Source organism: Homo sapiens, chromosome 10 (genome assembly GCF_000001405.40).
Source record: "Homo sapiens chromosome 10, GRCh38.p14 Primary Assembly".
Lineage (NCBI taxonomy): Eukaryota > Metazoa > Chordata > Mammalia > Primates > Hominidae > Homo > Homo sapiens.
In genome coordinates this window covers 15532900-15550393 of record NC_000010.11, presented here as the reverse complement: position 1 = coordinate 15550393, position 17494 = coordinate 15532900, and the positions used below count along the sequence as shown (strand labels likewise).

The window sequence follows — 17494 nt, the reverse complement described above, 5'->3', positions numbered from 1 at the left end:
ATGAGAGTCCTTGAAAGGGCCACAAACCACAGAGTTTTGAGAATTCCTGTTCCTGCTGTGGGTACCTGTATTGGTCCATTTTCACGCTGCTGATAAAGACATACCCGAGACTGGGTTATTTATAAAGAAAAAGAGGCTTAATGGGCTCACGATTCCACATGGCTAGGGAGTCCTCACAATCATGGTGAAAGGCAGAAGGCACATCTTACATGGTGGCAGGCAAGCAGAGAATGAGAGCCAAGCGAAAGAGGAAACCCCTTATAAAGCCATCAGATCTCGTGAGACTTATTCACTGCCATGAGAACAGTATGTGGGAAACCGTCCCCATGATCCAGTTATCCCTCACCAGGTCCCACCCACAACATGTGGGAGTCATGGAAGCTACAATTCAAGATGAGATTTGGGTGGGGACATAGCCAAACAACATCAGCACCTCAGCACCCAACTCTAGTAGCCCAAGGACAGTCCACCCACGTGCCTTTGGAAGCATCCTGTAGGAAATGAACTTCACCGCAATTTATCAGACAATATATTACTAACCCCTTTGCAGAGAATTCTGAGGATCTTGAAAAATGTTCTCGAAAAAGGTTCTTGTCGTAATATGTTCCTTGGATTATTCTGTGTTATATCAATTTCATTAAAGTGAAATGTCTCAGTCAACTACTTCACATAATATCCAATACATTGATTTTTATTGAGTACTCACAGGCCAATGTTGAGGGCTTGAGATATGAAAAATGAATACGCATGGGCCACAAGATAAATTTAAACCCATGATGGAGTACAATTAGAGAAGTATCATTCTGTGCATGGCACACAAAAAATGGATTATGATGTGTTCATTTATTTCCATGCTGGAATCTGATTAGAAAATCTGATTTGAGGCCAGGCATGGTGGTTCATGCCTGTAATCCCAACACCTTGGGAGGCCGAGGCGGGTGGATCACCTGAGGTCAGGAGTGCGAGACCAGCCTGGCCAACATGGTGAAACCCCATCTCTACTAAAAATACAAAAATTAGCCAGGCATGATGGCGGGTGCCTATAATCCCAGCTACTCAGGAGGCTGAGGCAAGAGAATCACTTGAACCCAGAAAGCAGAGGTTGCAGTGAGCTGAGGTCACACCATTGCACTCCAGCCTGGGCAAGAAGAGCAAAACTCTGTCTCAAAAAAAAAAAAAAAAAAAAAAAAAACAGAAAAGAAAAGAAAAAAGAAAGAAAATCTGATTTGATAGATAGAATGTCATTATAATGAATCCTTTTGAGGAACACACATTTCATATATTAAAGGTTATTCATTATACGCTGGGCAATTCTAGAAACCTATTAAAAAATAGCCTAATGAATGAAAGTCACAGAAAAGCCTCCTTTATAACCAGGAAATAATTTAGACAGAAGAACGTTATGGAACAAATGTATGTCAATCGGTCAGTAACTGTAGATCTTTGAGATAATATAGGCTCAAGAGTCTTCCTCTGCAACCCCTTCCAGACTTGCTGAACCCAGCACTGGGTATTGTGAATATCTATAAGCAATGCCTTCCCCAGTTCTGAGAAAATGAAACAGAACAATTAAATTGCTGCTGCAGAAAGATTCTCTTAAAGTCGTTCGAAAAGAGCTTAAATTTTATGTTGCATTTTGTGTTCCATTCATCCTCGCCATTAAACTGTGTTTTCTTGGTTGTTGCAATATATTGTTCTTTATTTACATTAATAATTTATCATAAGGTGATGACTTTTGAGGAAATGAAATGTAAATAAGCTAACTTCAGTGTTCAGTCTCTACCATGATTTAAAGACTCTGACGTGTTCCCACTGCTGTTTGCAGAATTGTACAAATATCGAGTGTTTACAAATCTCCTGTGCAGTGGGACGACTCGAAGGAGGAGAAAGCGCAGTCCTGAAAGTCAGGTCACGATTATGGGCCCACACCTTCCTCCAGGTAATAAACAACCACAGAAGCACATACACACTGCTCACTGGGAGCTGCTTCACAAAAGCTCAGTGGGAAGTCTTTTCATAGCGATTTCTAATTTAACACTGTGGAAGTCCGAGGCAGATGGATTACTTGAGGCCAGGAGCTCGAGACAAGCCTGGCCTACATGGTAAAAAACCCATCTCTACTAAAAATAGAAAAATTAGCTGGTCTTGGTGGTGAACACCAGTGGTCCCAGCTACTTGGGAGACTGAGGCATGAGAATCCCTTGAACCCAGGAGATAGAGGTTGCAGTGAGCCAAGATTGTGCCACTGCACTCCAGCCTGGGTGACAGAGTGAGACACTGCCTCAAAAAAAAAAATTAAAACTTGAATTTTAAACTTAAAAAAATTTTTTTTACATTTTTCAATGTAAAAGTTTCAAATTTAAAAAATTACTTCAAATAAAATGTATGTGGAGGAGTTGAACAAGATGAACTGGTCATTTTTCCCAGCAGGTAAAGACAGTTTAAACATCCTGAGTCCCTAAGACCTTGAGAATAGATCAGAAAATGTACTTAGTCCACTGTTATATACCCAGTGTTGGGCACAGTAACTATTAGTCAGTGGCAGCATGATGAGTATGAGAACATAATCCAAGATATATATGTCCAGAGAAGTTAAAATAGAAATCAATTTAGAAGGGAAAGGGGAGATTGTTCTAGAAGGTTCCTCTTGTCAAGTGGTCCTGCAGCATGGGCTCCAACCAGGACAGCACCTCAGCCAAGTTCCAGGTACGTGAGTATGATTTACAGATTATGCACCACTCCTGTGGTTGGCTCTGCATCCCACAATAGCCAGGGATCATTCCATTGATTTGTGCACTTTTTTTTGTTGTTGTTGCTTTTCTGAGATGGAGTCTTGCTCTGTTACCCAGCCTGGAGTGCAGTAGTGCGATCTTGACTCACTGCAACCTCTGCCTCCTGGGTTCAAGCAATTCTCCTGCCTCAGCCTCCCAAGTAGCTGGGACTACAGGCGTGGGCCACCATGCCCAGCTAATTTTTGTATTTTTAGTAGAGATGGGGTTTTGCCACATTGGCCAGGCTGGTCTCAAACTCCTGGCCTCGACTGATCCACGTGCTTCAGTCTCCCAAAGTGCTGGGATTACAAGCATGAGCCATTGCTCCTGGCCGACTATGGGCATTTTAAAAGTTTAAAATCTCTTTTATGCTAAGAAAATGAGAGTTTCATTTTGGAAAGCGCTATTTAAATGATACTGCTGTGTTACAACCTTATTGTTTGGGGAGGAATTTTTTTTTTAATCCTAAATTAACTCTTACCACGTCTACACATTCTTGCTCACATTTTAACTACTAAACAAACTCATTTGGTTTATTGTGCCATGAAAAATCAAAGGGTCAAATCCCTTTGAGTCTAGTTATAAATATAGAATTTTTTTATCCCTAGATTTTTATGTTTTCTATGATTTAATATGCTTCTACAGTCTCGTCAATCTTATTTTTGTTTTTAAAATAAAAACGAGGGAAATTAAAGTTTTGTTTTAAAGGTCATTGTGAAGCCATCTTCCTTTCTTCCTTTCCCTTCCCTTCCCTTCATTTCCCTTCCCCTCATTTCCCTTCCCTTTCCTTCCCTCCCTTTCTTCCCTTCCTTCTTTCCTTTCTTTATTTTTTCATTGCTTTTTCTGTGTCTCTTTTCTTTCTCTCTCTTTTCTTCCTTTTCTTTCTTTCATCTTCCTTCCTTCCTTTCTTACTTTATTTTCTTTCTTTCCTTCCTTTCCTTCCTTTCTCCTAAGGCAGAGTTTCTCAATCTCTGCACTATTAACGTTTTAGACCAGATCGCGCTGTGTTGCTGGGAGCCACCCTGGGCATTATAGGATACTTAGCAGCACCCCTGACCTCTACCTAGTAGGTGCTGGTAGCACCCTCACCCCAGGTGTGACAACCAAAATTCTCTCCAGATATTGCCAATGTCCTCAGGGGACAACATCATCCCATTTTGAACCACTGACCTAAGGAGAAGTACAGTGCCCAATTTATTTGACTTTTTAAAAAATCAAACCTTTACATATTCATTCACTCAACAAATATGTAGGGAGGACCTACTGTGTGCCAAGGGCTGCTTCAGGGTCTAGTTATAGGAGAAATAGCTGTGAACACAACAGACATAGCACCTGCCTTCACAGGGCTGTTATCTCAGTGGAGGGAATCAGAAACTGAGCAGGCAAACAGATGCATCAGTGCCGGGAAGAAAGTAGAATGGTGTAGGGAGATCAGGGCAGTGGGATAAATAGTAGGGAGTGCGGCTGCTTCTGCAGGTAGGATGGGCACAGGAGAGGCCTAGGAGGAGGTGCCATGGAACTGAGACCTGAGTCACGCAAAGACCTGTAGGCAGAGCCCCAGACAGAATACAACGAGCTGTGCAAAGGCCCTGAGGCCAGAACACTTTAGACATGTTTGAGGAACAAATGGAGACCAGTGTGTCAGTATCACCACTGATGAGACAGAAATTACAGGAATTACATACCATGGATGGGAGCCTGATTTTAGCCTAAGTGCAATGGACCACTACAAAATTAACCTAAGGAGTGATGTGATAATAATTACGTTTTTTAAAGAACACAAGTAAATAAATAAATTAATACATACTCTAACAAAGCAATACTACACAGTAATAAAAAGGAATGAATTAGACACATTGGCATGGATGAATCTCAGGCACACAATACTGAATTTTAAAGTCAATTATGATTCCATTTATAAAAAGCTAAAAAAAAAAACAGGCAAACTAAGCAGTAGGTTGGTAAAACTTTAAAGGAAAACAAGGAAATGAAAGTACAAATTCAGGAGAGTAGTAGCCTCTTAGGGTAGAAGACATTTAGCAAGAAACGAAGAGAATGTTTCAAAGGTACTTGTAATGGTTCATTAAAGTCAGCGGTAGGCATGTGGATATTCATCTTGGCTTCTTTATCATCATGTGTTATAAATGATTTATGTTTACTCAGCATCTAATAAAACAGCTTTGAAAGGGCAATATTGAAAGCACTGGGTTTGGAAGCTACTGCAATAGTCCAGAGGGAAATGGTGGTGGATTAATCTAGGGCAAAACAGTGGAGCAAGTGGAACAAGGTATGAGTCTGGATTGATTTTGGAGGAAAAACTAACAGTACTGGTTGAATTTATTGTTAGAGGATGAGAAAAAGAGAAGAATCAAGATGGACTCCAAGGTTTTTTGCCTAAGCCAAATGGTGAGGAAGACTTGGGGGAACACTGTTTCAGGAGAGGAAACCAAGAGTTCTGTTCTGAACCCTGTATTAGTTATCTATTGGTGCATAACAAATTTCCCCAAAACCTAGCAGCTTAAAACCGTAGACATTCATCCTGTCACTCTGAGTCAGGAATCTGGCTATGGTTTAGCTGGGTGATTCTGGTTCAGTGTCTCTCCTGAGGTTACAGCTGAGATGTCAGTTGGGGCTGTAGTCATCTGAAGGCTTGAGGGGCTGGAGGCTCTGTTCACAACATGGCTCAGAGACATGCACAGCAGGCCTTACCACGTGGCCCTCTCCACAGTGCTGCTTGAGCGATCTCCTAACATGGCGACTAGCTTCCCTCAGGCAAGTAAGCCAGGAGATGCCAAGGCTCTTACATATTTTCTGACCTAGCCTAGGAAGCCACTTTCTGTTATTTCCACAATGCCCTATCATTTGCACATATCAGTCATATTCATTCAGTAGGCGAGGCACCCACACAAGGGTGTGAATACCAGGAGGGAAGAATCCCTGGTGGCCATCTTGGAGGGTTGCTACCACAGATCGTTAGCCAACTCTTGAATTTCCTACTTTTAGATGCAATTTGTCTGAAAGCATAAACTGTAAATCCTGTTTTTCTCTAGTCAGATGAAAGCTGGGAGTAAGCTATATTGTTGTGATCAATAGATTCATTTCTTGGGGCTGATGCAACAAAGGACCACAAACTAAGTGGCTTAAAACAACAGAAATTTATTCTCTCAAAGTCCAAAACCAGAAGTCTGAAACCAACGTGTCAGCAGGGTTGGTTCCTCCTGGAGGCTCTGAGGAATAAACTACCCCCTGCCTCCCTTCAAGTTATTTGTTTTTATGGGGTTTTGGTTTTGTTGTTGTTGTTGTTTTGTTTTGTTTTTTTTTGGTAGAGACAGGGTCTCACTATGTCATCCAAGCTGGAGTGAAGTGGTGCAGTCATAACTCACTGCAGCCTTGAACTCCTGGACTCAGACAACCCTCCCACCTCAGCTTCCTGAGTAGCTGGGACTACAGGTGCCTGGCACCATGCCAGGCTCAGTTTTTAATTATTTTTTATAGAGATTATATCTTGCTATGTTGCTTAGGCTGGTCTCAAACTCCTGGCTTCCAGTGATCCTCCTGCCTTGGCCTCCCAAAGCACTGGGCTTAGCCGCATGAACCACCAGGCCTGGCCCCTCCTAGCTTCTGATGGTTGCCAGTAATCCTGGGCATTCAGTGGCTTGTAGACCATCACTCTACTCTCCTTCCATCTCCCATCACCTTTCCCTCTGTGTCTCTGTGTCCCTGTGTCTTCTGTTTCTTATAAGGACGCTCACTGGATTTAGAGCCCACCCTAATCCCAGTACAGTCTCATCTCAAACCTTACCTTAATTAATTCTGCAAAGACCATTATTCCAAATAAGGTCATATTACGAGATTCTAAGTGAACATGAATTTGGGTAAGACATTATTCAACCCTCTAAAATCAATAATCTTCCATCCCCACTAACAAAGCCTGACTCTATTTTGCTACAGTATTGCACCAATTTCTTTAATCTAGTAAATATGCTCCTTAAACTACTTCACCAACCTTACTAATATGAGAAGAAAGCAATTAATTAGGGTTTAAATTGGTTTTGTTATGACTCTGTTCACTGCATACATTTTCCATCTACTCTTAGACATTATCACTAAATGGGCAACATTTTGAACCAGAACAGTTGGGGCTGAAGTCATCTGAAGGCTTGAGTGGGGCTGGAGATGCAGTGCAGATGCTCTTGCAGTTTGGGTAAATATTGGCAAAAGTGTGTGAGTAAACACAGGGGTGAGCATATTTTTGAATTTCATATGTGAAAACTGCCTATTAGCAAAGTGATGTGCAAAAAACTACAGACATACATTAAATTCAAGTTCTAGGAGATATGCCCCTGACTAACATTAGACAGAGTCTATTTTCTCTGTCTCTGGTAGATACTGGGTCAGGATGCAGGAGCTCAGTTCCATTCCTGCCTGGTTGTGTTCAAAGCACTTAACTTTCATGGGGCTCAAATTCCCTATTTGTAAAATGAAGAGATTTGACTAAAGTCTCCTTTCATGCCTGAAAATTCACTGATTCTATAGGTAGCTCACAAGTAATTTATGGTGTTTATTCTACTTGGTGTAAGCCAGCAATAACTCTGTATGCTCTTAATAGCCTACTTTTTTATTGTGTTGATGTTTTGGTTGACCGAGACAGACTACATCTAAATGGCTCTTTACGCTTAAGGAACAGCCTGCCAATCTTTCCAAAGAGGGATGTTTGTCTGCAAATAGTCAGATTACTATTGAGTGATCGCCATGTAGCTAAGCACCATGATACATGCTTGTATATGAATGACTCATTTAATTCTTACAGCAATCCTGTGGGACATGTATTATTATTGTCAGCTGCATTTTACAGATGAGCAAACTGAGACATAGATATTATATGGCCTTCCCGAGTCACATAGATAGTAAGGGGGAGAATCTTGAGCTTTTACCCTATGTATGTTACTACACTAGACTGCTGAACTAAAGATTACTATAACAGCCTCTGTGGATTTTATATTTTGATCACTGTATTACGGATAGCTAAACTATAACTCTTAAATTATGGATAACTATACTATAACTACTATATAAAGGTTTTAAATACTGTGTATTAAAATTTTTCAAGATATTTAAATTGTATAGCATGCTATTTCAGAATCCAATAAAGAAAACATCTTATGATTCTTGAATTATACTGTCCAATACAGTAGTAATAGTCATGTGTGGCTATTTAAAGTATTTCAATTTGACTAAAGTTTAAAATTCATTTCCCCAGTCTCACCAGTCACATCTTAAGTATTTAAGAGTCACAGCTCATGGCTCCTGCATTGGTCTGTGCAGATTAAGAGCATTTCTCTATTGAAGAAAGTTCTATGCAGCAGCACTGTTTTAAAATGTTAGGGAAGCATATTTCCATTCAAAATTGCAAGATTCGATCATACAATCAATTATTGTATCTATGATTATAGACCTGGACTGTGTTTAATAATAGCTTTGTGACTTTCCTTATATCCCCTCGTAAAGTAAGAATTAGGCCCCCTTTGCCCCATAACAGTGTCATTGGCCACCTTAAAAGGCAAAATCTCTATCAGGAATCTATTTTTCCCTAAGTGTGATGTTACAGGTTTGAATAAACACAACAGCCTCCTGCTCGCCCTCCTGACTAGTGAGCAAAGACAGCAAAACGAGGTGATATGTAGACCAAGGGGCCGAATGTACTGGCTTTAATTCAAAGCTTAGATATAAGCAGGAACCATGCAAGTAAACTTTTGGATTCATATTTGCTAAGTGAATAAAATATTGAAATTCTGCCATATGTAATGAAAAAAAAAAAAACTTGTGAGGTTGTGTTAGGAAGTTGTTTTGGGAGGGAAAGTGGAGGAATCTTCCCAAAAATATATCTGTAGTTGACATCAGAGGGTAAGCTCCTCAAGAGCAGGAGGAATGTTTTCTTGTCTTTGAATCTTCTTCCCAGCCCTTGTATCACCTGACACAGGATACTACTCATAATGCTTTAATGAATGAAACATCTCAGGCCAAATGTTAGGCTTGGCTGGTACACAAGTCCTTGTCTATTTAAAATGAAACCAGTCAAAACTAACCAACAAATGAGATCACAACAAATTATCCCTCATGGCCTAAGGCGAGTAGCTCAGGAAGCAGCAGATATTCTAGAAATGTAAAAACTTGTGATACCTTTGAACAAAGTGAACAAGAAGTGATTTTTGATGCCTTTCTCTGGGGTCTCTGGAAATACCACCTTGATGGCTTCGTTTGAGATGCCAAAGTGATGCAGGGCAGGTGAACCCCAAAATTGGGGCTTAGCCCATGAGCATTCTTGGCTTCATTCAGAAAAGAATTCAAGCAACCCTATGTTGCCTTTTCAGGTGACAGGTGACACTGCTTGTGGCAAAAAGGGGTTCATTCTTTATGAGAGGATGTAAGGAAAGTCACAATCTCCAACAGCCTTTTATTGAACTGGACCTGCTGCCTGAGGAGCAGGGCTAACTCCTAGGCAGCACACACAGAGCTGGACTTGCTGGGCTCTTGGCAACTCTCTTTATATCCACTTATACCCATGTTCAATTATATGCAACTTAAGGGGTGGGTGAATGCAAATTGAAGGGCAAGTTATTCAGAACTCTCTAGCAAAGGGGCAATAACTTCCAGGTCGTTGCCATGGAAATGGGCAATAACTTCTGGGCTGTTGCCATGGCATTTGTAAACTGTCATGGTGCTGGCGGGAGTGTCTTATGCTGATGAGCAATGAAGGCAGCTAGGGATTGCTTTAGTAGCTACTGGCTGCCTTCAGCCAGTTTCTTCCCTTCATCCTGTCTATACCAGGTCTTGTTTTAGTCATCAGGGTTGTGACCAGAAAACAAGTCCTGTCAGTCCCATACCTCAAAAGCACAGGTACAGCCAAGAATGCACCTATGCTGACATCTGTGCCCAGCCAGCCCATTCACCAGAAGAATCTTCCATGAGGAGCTTGGGCTCATGTTTGTTACGACATTTGGCTTTCCTCCCAAATACTTGCACCTTATCCTCCCTCAAGCCACAAGCTGTTCTGATTTAGTGAGTTTAGCAAAGACTTCTTGCATTTTGGGCAGAGGCGAGCATCTCATTTTCTTACATCTTTCAAACTGAAACCCTCCAGGTTGAGATGAGAAGGCTTCCAAACTGAGGAGAGAACATGGATGGAACTGGAGGCTATGTTAAGTGAAATAAGCCAGGCACAGAAAGACAAATATCACATGTTCTCACTCCTATGTGGGAGCTAAAAGGGTGGATCTCATGGAGGCAGAGAGCAGATTCATCATTACCAGAGGCTGGGAAGGGAAGGTGGGGAACAGGGATGAAAAGAGGTTGGTTAAAGGGTACAAAAATACGGTCAGAAGGAATAAGTTCTGATAGTCAGTAGTACAGTGGGGAGATTATAGTTAACAATAATTTATTGTCTATTTCAAAGTAGCTAGAAGGAAGATTTGTAATTGTATTAGTATGTTTTCATGCTGCTAATGAAAACATACCTGAGACTGGGTAATTTACAAAGGAAAGATGTTTAATTGACTCACAGTTCCACATGGCTGGGGAGGCCTCACAATCATAGCAGAAGGCAAAGGAGAAGCAAAAGCATGTCTTACATGGCGGCAAGAGAGCATGTGCAGGGGAACTCCCATTTATAAAACCATCAGATCTCATGAGACTTACAACAAGAACAGTAGGGGAGAAATCACCCTGTGATTCAATTATCTCCACCCGGCCCCACCCTTGACACTGGGGATTATTACAATTCAAGGTGAGATTTGGGTGGGGACACAGCCAAATCATATCAGTAATGTTCCCAATGCAAAGAAAAGACAAATGTTTGAGGTGACAGATACCCCAATTGCCCTGAGTTGATCATTACACATTGCATACAGGTAACAAAATATCACATGTACCTCCAAAATGCATGCAGCTAATAGATATCAGTAAAAATAAATAAGAATTAGGCTGCCTTTCCTCTTTGAGCCACACCCTAATTTGATTCTTTTCAGTTCCATAAGGCAGACAATTCAGGATCTCAGGGAACAGAGACAAGTCCAAAGAGTCATGATTGTTCTTTTATTTCCTGCCCAAAATAATGACCCGCAGTATTGGGTCATACTGGCTCAGCTTCTGGTCCACTTCCAAAGGGGAGATAGTGTCAAATGTCTGAGTAGTGCAAGGCCTCAACCCACAATGCTGACATAATTTATCTAGACTTAACCTGGGGAAGAGTCATGGTGATGAATAATGTTGGCTGCAACTCACCATGCTCCTTGGACACAACCAGGAGACAGATTCAAAGGGATGAGGTGTTTTGATACCTTTTATTTCATCTACTGAGACAGAGACTAGAGACCCTTAGTGACATTCAATCAGAATTCTGTTGCCTCGTTTGAGGTAGGTTCCATGATCAGAGCCAGTCACGAACTCCTTCTCACTTTGAGGAAGTGAGAGGCAAGCTTCCCTCTATTCTGTAGTTGAAATGGAAGAAGCAAGCACACACCCCAAAGCAGCTTTGCAAAATATCCTATATATTTGCATACAACATATCTTCCAGAAATGCTACACATAGATCTTTGTATAGTTTATAACCAGTCTGTCCATTCCCTTGTCTTCTAAGGAAACGTTAAAAAAAAAAAAAAAAAAAAAAAAAACCTTTACCTGAAAATGTCAGGTGGTTTCTTGAAGGGTCTTTCATAAAATTTGGAACTTCAAATACAAGTTGTCCTGAGTTCAAAGAAAACCTAATTCTAAGTTTAATAATTCAGAGAATCCAAGTGTTAGCCTCCTCATGATAAATTGTCATCTGAGTCTTTTTATCATTTAATTATTTTGTTGGCATGCATTTATTAGCACTAAACTAAATTAAAAGCACTTCTTTAGACTGAACAAAAATGATGTCATTTTAACACCTTAACAATTTGTCATAAACTTGAACATTTTCTTTTTTATTATTATTATTATACTTTAAGTTTTAGGGTACCATGTGCACAATGTTCACTGGCCTTTTCAAATTAGATTCTGCTTTTCTAAAGTGACATAGGCTTCCATAGAACGCCAATTTTCTTAACTATAGTTTTTTTTTTTTTTTTTTTCGAGACGGAGTCTCACTCAGCCGCCCAGGCTGGAGTACAGTGGCATGATCTCAGCTCACTGCAACCATCGTCTCCCGGGTTCAAGCGATTCTCCCGTCTCAGCCTCCCAAGTAGCTGGGATTACAGGCACCCGCCATCATGCCCAGCTGATTTTTGTATTTTAGTAGAGACGGAGTTTCACCATGTTGGCCAGGCTGGTCTTGAACTCCTGACCTCAGGTGATCCACCTGCCTTGGCCTCCCAAAGTGTTAGGATTACAGGCATGAGCCACTGCACCTGGCCAACTATAGAACTTTTTAACTGAATACCCAGGATGACTGAACCACTTGCATTTAGTTGATTTGCTTATGATCACTCTATTGATTGGCTGTTGCTTTTTATTGTTTTCTTAGAAACAGGGTCTTACTCTGTTGAAGTGCAGTGGTGCAATCACATCTCATTGCAGCCTCAAACTTCCAGGTTCCTCCCACCTCAGCCTTCTGATTGTCTGGGACTACAGACCCATGCCACCAGACCTGGCTAATTTTTGTGTTTTTTTTTTGTTTTGTTTTGTTTTTTGTAGAGATGAAGTCTCACTGTGCTACCCAGGCTTGTCTCAAACTGCTGGGTTCAAGTGATCCTCTTGCCTTGGCCTTCCAAGGCACCGGGATTACAGGCATGAGACACTGTGCCCAGCCAATTGTTACTTTTTATCCAAGAGTTGGAAGAGAGGTGCCTTAACGAATTCCCAAGTCTATACAACCTAAATGACAACAACACATTCCTCCTGTTACTTTTGAGCATCACGTCCTACCAAAAAGAGGGAGAACAACTTTTCAATGAGGCAGGACTCCTATCATTATGACACTAGAGTGTAGGGGAAAGTTACTATTTTAGCCCACACACTTCAGTTCCATACACGACATTCTATTCCGGTAGGAGGCTGATTGAGTGAAAGTTACATCTTCGTTTCCCTGTTAAAGAAGACCCGGTGTCTGCAAAAAGTCAATAGTAATTGAGTGGCTTTGGAAACAATAAATATTTAGTGCAAGTAGAGTCAGAAAAGAAGAATCTGTAGCAACATTTTGAAGTCCTAGGGAAAAGCATCACTTCCAGAGATATGGGAAAGACGGGTACAATTCGCTGTGTGCTCACCCACATCCTTAGCCCAAATTTCTGCACTGCCACAGTTTCTGCTTATTTCAGTGTCAGGTGCCAAATCCTAAAGAGGAATGCGTTATTATAATCTAAGAATACACTGTACATTGGGGCCTATTAACAGTTTTGTCATACAAACCAGGAAGAGGGAAACGTTTTCTGCCCTCCTAATCCAGGCTAGAAAGTTTACAATTCTTGGTGGATATGACTTGTTGCGTTATGTTGGTTTCTGTCCATGTAACGAACATGCAAACTGGTCAGAAACAGATTGTATGTAGGTTAATCCTAAATGGTCCCCTATTCTGTGATTGTTGCTTGAAATAGAAATTTCCTTTACAGGTGAAAGTTTTGCCACTAATTCCTTAGGTTTTGTCACCTCAAAAGGCTTGGTTTCTGGTAAATATTGAATATTTCAAAACGGGCTACATAAAATGGATATGTGCTTTAAAATAATTATTGGGAAGGAATTAAGCAGCTGGAAGTTGGGAGTGGGAGAGCTTGTGTCATTGCCTGACACACTAGGTCGCTAACTCCTCCGTTTGTTACCAACTCACTTTTATTGGTACCATGCCTATAAGCAAATCATTGTGCAAAAGTGCATGATAGAGACAGCCAGTGAGCTACAAACCATGGTTTAAATGATGCGGTAATGACAGACGAGCAAGGCATTTTCTGGGGATTAATAGCCAGCTGGGGCAAGACGAAGGTCCTCATTGTTGCCAAGGGATATTAACCCCAGCTGGGTTTTCAATCCTAAATTGCCTACAATGTGGCAGTGATTGCTATTACATGAGTAGATTGCTATATGGGAGAGAGGTTATATTGAACATAAGAATAATACTATTGTTACATAAAGAGCACAACTGGAAGCATTTAACTTTGGATGTGGAATCACTATTACACCTCTGCCCGTAATTGCTTTCCATGAGTTATTAAATACTCACCTGTGCCATGCCTCTGATCTACAACGCAGAACTTGGGTATCTTTGATGCTGACTCTGCTGATCAGTCTAATAAACCACGTTTTCCATTCCTTGGAGCTCCAGAGCATTCTTTAAAAGTGAAGATGCATTTTTTTTTCCTTCCAACAAGGGTGGAAGAAACCTTACTTTTGAAGAATGCGTTCAAAACAAAAAACAGATTGATCTAGGAGAGGTGGTGTTACAGGCTGTTTGCTTATCTTACTGTGCCCGGAATTGGTGGGTTCTTGGTCTCACCGACTTCAAGAACGAAGCCGCAGACCCTCGCGATGAGTGTTACAGTTCTTAAAGGCAGCGTGTCCAGAGTTTGTTCCTTCTGATGTTCGGATGTGTTCAGAGTTTCTTCCTTCTGGTGGGTTCGTGGTCTCGCTGGCTCAGGAGTGAAGCTGCGGACCTTCTCGGTGAATGTTAACAGCTCTTAAGGCAGCGCGGAGTTATTCGTTCCTCCCGGTGGGTTTGTGGTCTGGTTGGCTTCAGGAGTGAAGCTGCAGACCTTCGAGGTGAGTGTTACAGCTCATAAAGGCAGCGTGGACCCAAAGAGGGAGCAGCAGCAAGATTTATTGCAAACAGCAAAAGAACAAACCTGCCACAGTGTGGAAGGGGACCCCAGCAGGTTGCCACTGCTGTCCCAGGCAGCCTGCTTTTATTCTCTTATCTGGCCCCACCCACATCCTGCTGATTGGTCCATTTTACAGAGAGCCCAGTGGTCTGTTTTGACAGGGTGCTGATTGGTGCGTTTACAATCCCTGAGCTAGTCACAAAGGTTCTCCACGTCTCCACTAGATTAGCTAGATACAGAGTGTGGACATAAAGGTTCTCCAAGTCCCCACCAGAGAAGCTAGATACAGAGTGTGGATTGGTGCATTCACAAACCCTGAGCTAGACACAGGGTGCTGATTGGTGTGTTTACAAACCTTGAGCTACATACACAGTGCCGATTGGTGTATTTACAATCCCCTAGCTAGACATAAAGGTTCTCCAAGTCCCTACCAGTCAGGAGCCCAGCTGGCTTCGCCTAGTGGATCCCGCACCGGCGCCGCAGGTGGAGCTGCCTGCCAGTCCCGTGCCCTGTGCCCACACTCCTCAGCCCTTGGGTGGTTGATGGGACTGGGTACCGTGGAGCAGGGGGCGGTGCGCGTCAGGGAGGCTCGGGCTGCACAGGAGCCCACGGAGGGTGGGGGGAGGCTCAGGCATGGCGGGCTGCAGGTCCCGAGCCCTGCCCCTGGGGGAGGCAGCTAAGGCCCAGGGAGAAATCCAGCACAGCACCGGTGGGCCGGCACTGCTGGGGGACCCAGCACACCTACCGCAGCCGCTGGCCCGGGTGCTAAGCCCCTCATAGCCCACACTCACCCGCGGAACTCACACTGGCCCGCAAGCACCGCACGCAGCCCAGGTTCCCGCCTGCGCCTCTCCCCCCGTGCCTCTCCCTCCACACCTCCCGGCAAGCTGAGGGAGCCGGCTCCGGCCTCGGCCAGCCCAGGAAGGGGCTCCCACAGTGCAGCCGCGGGCTGAAGGGCTCCTCAAGTGCCGCCAAAGTTGGAGCCCAGGCAGAGGAGGCGCCGAGAGCGAGCCAGGGCTGTGAGGGCTGCCAGCATGCTGTCACCTCTCACTATTATTTGCTAGCACCCCAGGCTACGTCCAGGCACACACCAATTAGATTGAGGAGGTGAGAGCTTATCAATATCCCCTTCAAAGGAACTGTAGCCCTCATCTTATATCACTATCACCTTTTACAACTTCCTGAATTGCTTACTCTAATTAAAGGGAGAAAGGAAAGGGTGTCCAATTCAATAATGGAAAGATCTTTCATAATTGCCATCAAATGGATGGTACATGGAGTGGGAGGGTCGTCAAATGACCAAAGCATTAGATGTGTTCATTCACCCTTCATTCATGTGGTCAGAGATCCAGTATTGATTAAGCAAGCTCTCCTGTGCACATTGTTCTAGGTTCTGTAGAAGATATAGACATTATATTCCAAGGAATATGCCTTGCATCTTTGTATCATATAGTTGGGGAGAAAAGTAATAGAGAAAAATTAAAAATTAAACAACAATGTGAACCTTCCAAAAAATATGTCAGATACAGTCTCATCTCAGTCTCACTGAATCAGAATCTCTGAGACTGATCTCAGATATGTCTGAAGTTCAGCAACCACCAGAAACGGCAGTCAAGATTGGTGATGAGGCTGGGCATGGTGGCACACGCCTGTGATGCCAGCACTTTGGGAGGCTGAGGCAGGAGGATCACTTGAGGTCAGGAGTTCAAGACCAGCCTGGCCAACATGGAGATACCCTGACTCTACTAAAAAAAATACAAAAATTAGCCAAGCATGGTGGTACTTGCCTGTAGTCCCAGCTACTTGGGAGGCTGAGGCAGGAGAATCACTTGAACCCGGGAGGTGGAGGTTGCAGTGAGCCGAGATCACACCATTGCACTCTAGCCTGGGCAACAGAATGAGACTCTGTCTCAAAAAAAAAAAGATTGGTGATGTGATGAATGGAAAATATGAGAAATCAAACTGCAGCCAACAGCAGGAAGGGCAAAGGAAGGAAGTGAAAGAAAGTTCCCTTAGAGAAACATATTAATCCACATTCTACATCCTAGAGTTCAAATGCTGTCTATGATGCATTAGGAAACTTTCGCATTTATAAATGCAGAATCTGTAAGAGAAAAGCGTTCCATCTAGAAAGATTTTGATGCAGAGATGCAGTTTTCAAACTATTTATCAAAGACATGACTTCAAGAACAGTAATATTTTCTATCAATTTTTTATTGAACTTGGAGATAAAAGAAAACTTCTTCATTGGAGGTTTGGGAGCATGGAAACGCATTTGAGAATATAATTATAATCCTTACCCACAAGATCTCATTACTAGAGTTTCTCTTGTTTCTATCAGTGAGGATAGCAAGGAAATTAGATTGAAATCACCAGGTACACACATGATTTTATGAGCAAAAGTTTCCGAATTGTATAAAAACCCTTCTCAAACAAACAAAACTCCGACTTTTAGTTAAAATGGAAATGCTAAGAGAGAAGAGATCATTAGAATAACATCCAAAAAGGAATTTTCCCAAATGAGTAGAGTTGTTTATTCTGGAGGGTAGGAGTAGAAAGAAACATTCAAAGATATTGTAACTTTAAGTATATAAAAGTTACATACTATGTCCTGCCCTTACCATGTAGAGGAAAAAAGCGTTTATCTAATGGAGAAAAAAATTCTGCCACAGGGGAAAAAGAACTTTGTAAAAAATATTTAAGGAAAATTATTGGACTCATGAGGCCCAACATTGGATTATAGACAGTGATGTACTGGTAGATTTTTACTAACTACTTTCTGGGAAGGAAAAAGAGCCCCGATCCGTAACATTTGCCACTGATTTCAAGCCACCACCATGATCGTCACGGAATACAGAGCTGGGAAGAGATGCCAGGTCCCACACCATTATGTAGTGTTTCCTCTTACAGATACAGTAGACATAAATCACATCCTGA

The 17494-nt window shown here is 42.2% G+C and overlaps 1 protein-coding gene across 2 annotated transcripts in view; it reads left to right on the top strand.

Annotated features, from left to right (window-relative positions):
• The window catches only part of ITGA8 (integrin subunit alpha 8), a 205969-nt gene that overhangs the window by 169529 nt on the left and 18946 nt on the right, over nt 1-17494 (top strand). For both annotated transcript variants that reach the window (NM_001291494.2, NM_003638.3), the window contains one exon: nt 1826-1939. In NM_001291494.2, the coding sequence (NP_001278423.1) occupies nt 1826-1939 (114 nt within the window). The remainder of the gene's footprint in view (nt 1-1825; nt 1940-17494) is intronic.